Source organism: Homo sapiens, chromosome 17 (assembly GCF_000001405.40).
Source record: "Homo sapiens chromosome 17, GRCh38.p14 Primary Assembly".
Lineage (NCBI taxonomy): Eukaryota > Metazoa > Chordata > Mammalia > Primates > Hominidae > Homo > Homo sapiens.
Genome location: NC_000017.11, coordinates 36,095,809 through 36,103,826, shown reverse-complemented (window position 1 = coordinate 36,103,826; position 8,018 = coordinate 36,095,809). Strand labels below are relative to the sequence as shown.

Sequence of the window (8,018 nt, the reverse complement as noted above, 5' to 3'; positions counted from 1 at the left end):
GATACTGACTTGGGAATCTCTCTTTATAGGGACTCTGAGGCCTAGGACAAATGTGGGGGCACAGGAGAGTGAGTGGAATTTCCATGGTAGAGATGACGTCATGCTCCTGAAGCTAGCTGAGTGAGGAGTTCCTCTCAGCTTCTCTTCCCCAGGGCGATGTCATCATAGAGGAAAGATGAGGGAGGTGCAGGCGAGAAGAAAAGGGAAGTGGTACAGCCAAAGGCAGTGACCGAGACTGGGGAGAGAGTTGCAAACCCCAGAGGAAAAGATGAAATGTTCACACCTGCTACAAGTGGCTTGTAGACAAGAACTGTGCTGCTCTTGGTGGTTGGCACCCTCAGATGCTGGAGGGTTCATGTCAGTCTTTCCAGGCTGGCCACAAGCCTGACCCCAAGAACAAAGTGGGAGCCAGGACTCCCCCATCCCCTTCCTGTGCCTTCTTCTGCTGAGCTGAGTGCCACTGACTTTTGTGCCTTATATGTTTCCTTGGGCATGAAGAGTCCAGCATTGGATGTGAGGAGGGACCCAGTAGGGTGGCTCAGGAACATTTGTAACTTCTTATTGGACACTTACCTTGTACCAGGCACTGGAAAAGCTGTGTTACACACATTATATATAATCCTACCATAATCTTGAGCAGGGGTGTCTAATCTCATTTTACAGACAAGGCAATTGGGGATCAGAGAGTGGTCCACTGATGCGCTCAATGCCACAGAGCTGATGAATGGCACTGCCAAGATTTGAATCAAGATTCACCTGACTCCAAAGTCCATTTTCTTTCCATGCTGTAGTCTCCTGAATAAACATAGAATGTGACCACAAAGAGAACCCGTTGACTGATAGACTGCTAGGAGCTATTCCACACTCAAAGACTGACTATATTCGGACTTAATTCAGGAAGGGGATAGGGCTAGTCTGTCCTAGGACAAGGAGGAAACGGAGAAGAAATAAAGATTTCAGGATATTTTCTTGGACCAGCAAAAGAACAGGACAAATTAACCAGTAAGAATCAAGTTTGGAAGACCCAGATAGAGAATGTTCTTCTAGTATAAAAACAGGATTGAGCTGGGTACAGGGCCTCACACCTGTAATCCCAGCACTTTGGGAGGTCAAGGCAGGCAGATAGCTTGAGCCCAGAAGTTCGATACCAGACTGGGCAACATGGTGAAACACTGTCTCTATAAAAAAATATTTTGGCTGGGAGTGGTGATACACACCTGTAGTCCCAGCTGCTCAGTAGGCTGAGGTGGGAAGATCACCTGAGCCCAGAAAAGTCCAGGCTGCAGTGAGTGGTGATTGTGCCACTGCACTCCCGCTTGTTTGACAGAATGAGACCCTGTCCCAAAAACAAAACAAAGCAAAACAAAACGAAACAGAATTATATACCTAGTAATTAGTTTATCTATGTTACAGGCAAAATGTGTAATCTAAGGATGTGGGTGTGTCCCAGCCAGTCCATAGGGAATGCCCATGCTCATGTTAAGCCCTGGCTGGTTTGACAGTTGCTGGGCACCTGTACAGAAGGTGAAGCTTACAAAGGCCCTGCATACAGGAATGTGCAAGGTTGGACAAATGAAGGGAATGAGGATAATTGGATCAAGACCTCTATCTGCCTTTAGCTCCACTACTCTAACCCACCTGCTCACCTTTAACCCCACATTGTTACCTGCTCTTCTCTGAGAAAGAAAAAAGAAGAGTAAAAAAAGGGAGCCATGACTTCAAACTATACCACAGGGCTGCAGTAACCAAAACAGCATGGCTTTGGTACAAAAACAGACTCATAGACCAATAGAACAAAATAGAGAGCTCAGAAATAATGCTGCATACCTGCAACCATCCGAACTTTGACAAAGTTAACAAAAACAAGCAACAGGGAAAGGACTTCCCAGTCAATAAATGGTACTGGGATAACTGGCTAGCTGTATGCAAAAGATTGAAACTGGACCCCTTCCTTACACCATCTGTAAAAATCAACTCACAATGGGTTGAAGACTTAAATGTAAAACCTAAAATATAAAACTATAAAAATATGATACCTGTAAGATAACCTAGACAATATGATTCTGGGCATAGGATCTGGCAGATATTTCATGATGAAGATGCCAAAAACAAATCACAACAAAACCAAAAACTGACAAATGGGATCTAATTAAACTAAAGAGCTTCTGCACAGCAAAAGAAATTATCAGCAGAGTAAAGAGATAACCTACAGAATGGGAGAAAATATTTACAAACTATGTATCTCACAAAGGTCTAATATCCAGAATCTATAGGGAATTTAAACACATGTACAAGCAAAAAACAAACAACTCCGTTAAAACGTGGGCATTGAACATAAACAGACACATTTCAAAAGAAGACATACACGCGGCCAAGAAACATACAAAAAATGCTCAGCACCACTAATCATTAGAGAAATGCAAATTAAAACCACAATGAGATACCATCTCAAACCAGTCAGGATGGCTATTTTTAAAAAGTCAAAAAATAACAGATGTTGGTGAGGCTGTGGAGAAAAGGAACACTTATACACTGCTGGTGGGAATGTAAATTAGTTCAGCCATTGTGGGAAGCAGTTTGGCGATTTCTCAAAGAACTTAAAACAGAATTACCATTCAACCCAGCAATCCCATTATTGGGTATATACCCAAAGGAATATAAATCATTCTACCATAAAGACATGTGCACATGTATGTTCATCGCAACAGTATTCACAATAGCAAAGACATGGAATCAACCTAAATGCCCACTGATGGTAGACTGGATAAAAAAAATTTGGGATATATATATATATATATCATGGAATACTTCTCAGTCATAAAAAAAAAAAAAGAACAAGATCATGCCCTTTGCAGCAACATGGATGGAGCTGGAGGCCATTATCTTAAGCGAACTAACACAGGAACAGAAAACCAAATACTGCATGTTCTCACTTATAAGTGGAAGCTAAACATTGAGTACACATGGACACAAAGAAGGGAACAGCAGGCACCAGGGCCTACTTAAGGGTGAAGGGTGGGAGGAGGGTGAGGATAAAAAAAACTACCTATTGGGTACTATGCTTATTACCTGGGTGATGAAATAATCTGTACACCAAACCCCCCGCAACACACAACTTACCTATATAACAAACCTGCACATGTACCCCTGAACCTAAAATACAAGTTAAGAAAAAAAGGGACCCACAGCATCTGGGAGCCATAGGAGAGGTTGGAGCAGCATCCTGGGGTACTTCAGGGTCATTAAATAAAGTACAAGGTCATCCTGCCTCAGCACTCTCCCTCACTCCCCACCCGCACACACAAGCTGCACTTCTCTCATCTGTTCTCTCCCCCTTTTCTTTGTACAGCTCTTTTTTCAAATGTTCTGATCTTCTCCAAGACCCTCGCCCCCAGCTGTAATGTTCCGAGTTCCCTGATAGCAGATGTGTTAGTACCTCTCCTGGCCTTTCCTAGTTGGTGCAGTTTCATCTTCATGCATCGAGGACCTCACTTTAAGGGAAGCAGAATGTGTCTCATGTCCTCTGGATTAACACAGACTTCGTTATCTATGACATTTTTATTCAACCCAATGTACTAACCATCTGCTCTTTGCCAGGGCAGACAGAGCTGAATGAAGCCCCATCCCTGCCCTCGAAGAGTTCCATGTCTAGTGATGGCATTGACAGTGACAGAAATAACTATCCCATGAGGAGGAATAAGCTAAGTGTCATGTCAGAGGAAGAAACAAAGTGTCAGGAAGGCTGAAGGATGGAGAAGGCTGTCTATTAGCTGTAGATGAGTAGTTTCAAGTTAAGTCTCAATCCCCACTAAAGCAGCTGTCTGAATGAGCAGGGTGGAGGGGTTAGGAGGAAGCCTGTTCTGGGGCTTCAGGAGAATAATGATTGATAAAATGGGTGATTAGTCATCACTGAGCCATACAATGAGTTTGTCTGTTGACTTTTGTTTCCTCGCCTTGATCTGATCTTTGGCTCATGGGGGTAAAAGGTTTTGAGAGATCTTCATGAAGATCCTAACAACAATACTATGTCTGCACCAGTGGAAGTCCACACTGAGAGTAAAAAGGACTTGTATCATTTCGTTTAGCCATATTAACTTCCCCCACCCCAAGATTTAGGCACTGGTGCCATTTAGAACTCCTGGAGGGCAAATGTGGAGACTGGAAAGCCAAGGAGAGCCAATAATCAATGATAACAAATGACTCTCAGATACATGACGAAAAAGATTCCCATCTTCCCTAGAGAAACTTTCCTGACCTCTTTCCCAAGTAAACTCTGTATCCTTCACTGTGCTCCTACAGTCTCCTGAACTATTTCTTCTTACCACCTATGACATATTTATCTATTCCTGTGGTTGCCTCCCCAACTAGAAAGTGAGCTCCTTGATGCAGAAACTGTTTATGCTTATCTCCATGGAGGGAATGTGATGAGTAACATGGACTCAAGATGTGGACCCCTATATAGCCAAATGAGTAAACCAAGTATGAATGAACTGGGTGTTCTGACATTCCACCCAAAAGGTGATTCCTCAGCCCTGATAGTGTGGTACTTCCCCTTCTCCCCCACCCTCAACCCACGCATCCAGTAGTTTTATCACAATGGATACTATTCTTGGACTCAACTGTTTTTAGCTCAGGGTTGCAAGAAGTGACAGCAAGGGTCATCCTTGGTTCCAGGGAGCTCCATTCAGAGGTCCACCCCCTCACCCTGAGCAGGGAAGCCCTTCTTTCCCCCTCACTTGTGGTCATTTAGAGGTTCCCCCTCCACATCCTTGACCACCACTATATTCATAACTCCATTCTGGGCATTTTTACATTTGTCTTGTCATGTTGTCCTCAACCTCCCAGGCTGCAGACAGGCCCAGCAGCCACAGCAGTAACATGACCTTGAAAATGTCCTGGTATTTTTTCATTTTCCTCAGTATATCCATGGCCTGTGGTTTTACCTGATCCCAATCTGTTTTGCCACGGTACAGAAGAGGAAAGCAAAACCTAGAGAAGTGAAAAGACCCGATCAAGGTCACACAGGATGCATGTCAAGACCCAGGGTCTTCAACTCCCAGTTCAGTGATGACCAGAGTCCCTCTACAGGTATGAGCCTCTGAGATTACACATAGAGGCAATCTCTGATCATAACACACTCAGTCAATCTGGACATCCTGGCTTCTCCTAGAGTGTTGAGGAGACCACTGGGTGTTGGGGCCAAGAGGTAGCCTCTAGGAGGTGGGATGCATAGAACTAGAGAACCCCTGGAGGGCAAATGTGGAGACTGGAAACCCAAGGGGAGCTGGAACATAGGGTCATTTTGCCAAGATAATAAACCAAGAAGAGGCAAATCCTGTAGTTTTGCCAATATGGTGTCCAAGTCACTTTGGAGGAAATGGGAGCAGAAGCTGGATTGTGAATTGAAGAAACAAATACACAATTATCCAGAGTGCAGAATTCTTCAGGATGAAATCTGTAGGACAATGAGCTGGTTGGAGCAGCTCATCAGTGACTGTCACACTCTGACTACGGAGCTGGCCAGCCCCACGCTTCTTACCATGGAAATGGACCTTCGTCGCCTGCCACAACCTGCTCTTGCTTGTGAAAGGCAGAGGTCAGGAACTTCAGGCAATGCTAAATTCCTGAGAGAGGGATAAAGCCTCACCAGCATTCATGAGGTCAAGAAAACTTTCAGTATTCCTTGTGAAGCATCTTCCTTCAAATTGTTTCTGGCCTCTTTCCATGCAGGTCATAGGGAATACTCCAGCAAGAGATGAACATAATTCAGTAAAGCTTTATTGAGTAACTACTGTGTGACAGGCATTGTGTCTGAGGGTGAGGGTATGCACTTTAGATGGTGGTAGTGTAGTGTTAAGGAAGGCCTCCAAAAAATGTGAGACCTGAATTTTTTTTTTTGAAAAAAATTTATAGGCCAGGCATGGTGGCTCATGCCTATAATCTCAGCACTTTGGGAGGCCGAGGTGGGTAGATCATCTGAGGTCAGGAGTTTGAGAACAGCCTGGCCAACATAGTGAAACCCCATCTCTACTAAAAATACAAAAACTTAGCTTGGCATGGTGGCACATGCCTGTAGTCCCAGCTACTCAGGAGGCTGAAGCAAGAGAATCTCTTGAATCTGGGAGGTGGAGATTCCAGTGAGCCGAGATCGCGCCACTGCACTCCAGCCTGGGTGACAGAGTGAGACACTGTCTCAAAAAAAAAAAAAAATTATATTAGTTTGGTTTTCTTTTATAGAAAATATACATGGTCATTGTACAAAATTGAGAAAATATAGGGAGGCATAAATAAGAAAATTAAAATTGCCCTATCATTCTGTACCTAGTTTTATATTTTATTATTGGTACTTAATAGTCTTTTATGAACCAGTGTATCTTATTATTGTTACTTAATCTTCTTCTGTGTCATTACAAACTTAAATATTACTCAAAAATGGCATGAATATATGCATGGTATTTTATTGCATAGATATACCAAAAGTTGTATTTAATCACTCTGCTATTCACATCTGTCCATTTATGTTGCTCTAACTTTTCTCTATTGTAGGTTGAACTGAGATTAGCCAGGCAAAGACAGGCACAGGGGTATCCAGGCAAAGAACAAGAGACCTGCACTTGTTTTTGATGTAAAATGGATATATTGAAATATTGCAATAATAATAAAATAGTAATAGTAATAATAGTAGATAGCACTTAACACAGCACTTTTTATGAACCAGTAATGTTCTCTGCCTTTCATAGATATTAATGCATTTAATCCTCACAGTGGCCCTCTGAGGTAAGTGCTGTAACTATCCCCTTTCACACACGAAGAAACTGAAGCACAGAGAGGTACGTAACCTATGGAAAAACACACAGCTGACATACAACAGATTTGAAGCTGAAGCCAAGAAGTCTGGCTCTAGAGCATGAATAAATCACAAAAGGGAAGTGTGCTGTATTATAAATTTATGTTAAAAGCACAACAGCCAAAGTTTCTGTTATTCTAATGTAAAATGTCTTTTCTGTTTTGCATTTTGCATGTCTTTGAACAGCAAGATCCATGGATTTCCTCTTTTCCTTAGAAAATGTGGGGAATTACAGGCCAGGCTTGGTGGCTCACACCTATAATCCCAGCACTTTGGGAGGCCAAGGCAGGCGGATCACTTGAGGTCACGAGTTCAAGACCAGCCTGGCCAACATGGTGAAACCCTGTCTCTACAAAAAATATAAAAATTAGCCAGGCGTGGTGGTGCACGCCTGTAATCCCAGCTACTCAGGAGGCTGAGGTGGGAGAATCACTTGAACCCGGGGAGAGGGGTAGGTGGGATCGGAGGTTGCAGTGAACCGAGATTGAGCCACTGCACTGCAGCCTGGGCGACACAGTGAGACTCCATCCAAAAAAAAAGAAAAAGAAAAAGTAAAGAAAATTTGGGGAATGATGTAGTGTTTTTCCTTAATTGTTCTAAATATTAATCCCTGCAGCTGTCATGGGATGTGCCCACTTTTGTAGTATTACACTCTGCCTTGTGGCTTACAAGAAGGGGAAACTGTGCTCTACCAAGTCAACACCTCCTTCATTAAAAGCAGGGAAGAAAGCTGCACATTTAAGGAACCACAGGTAGTGCAAATAGGCTGTCTTGGTTTTCAGGAAGTCTCAACTTGGCAAGCCACAAGGCCAAAGAGGTAGACAGGGGTCAGGTTACAGAGAAGCTTCCATTTCATGCCAGAAGCAATGTAGAATGTTTGCAAGATTTTAAAAGGAGAGAAACAGAGACTGATTTGAGCTTTAGCAAAATTATGTTGGATGCTGTGTGGTGGGATAGATTAAAAAGAGACAAAACTAGGCCAGGCGTGGTGACTCACTCCTATAATCAATCCCAGCACTTTGGGAGGCCGAAGCAGGCAGATCACTTGAGGCCAGGAGTTCAAGACCAGCCTGGCCAACATGGTGAAACCCCATCTCCACGAAAAATACAAAAAAATTAGCAGGGCATGGTGGCACATGCCTGTAATCACAGCTGCTAGGAAGGCTGAGGC

At 43.3% G+C, this 8,018-nt stretch overlaps 1 annotated feature.

The window, feature by feature from the left end:
* Positions 4,295-4,495: a silencer, noted in NCBI's record as "peak2824 fragment used in MPRA reporter construct". NCBI's record gives its function as "represses an SCP1 promoter by STARR-seq MPRAs in K562 erythroleukemia cells {active_cell/tissue: K562}" and the evidence as "EXISTENCE:reporter gene assay evidence [ECO:0000049][PMID:32103011]".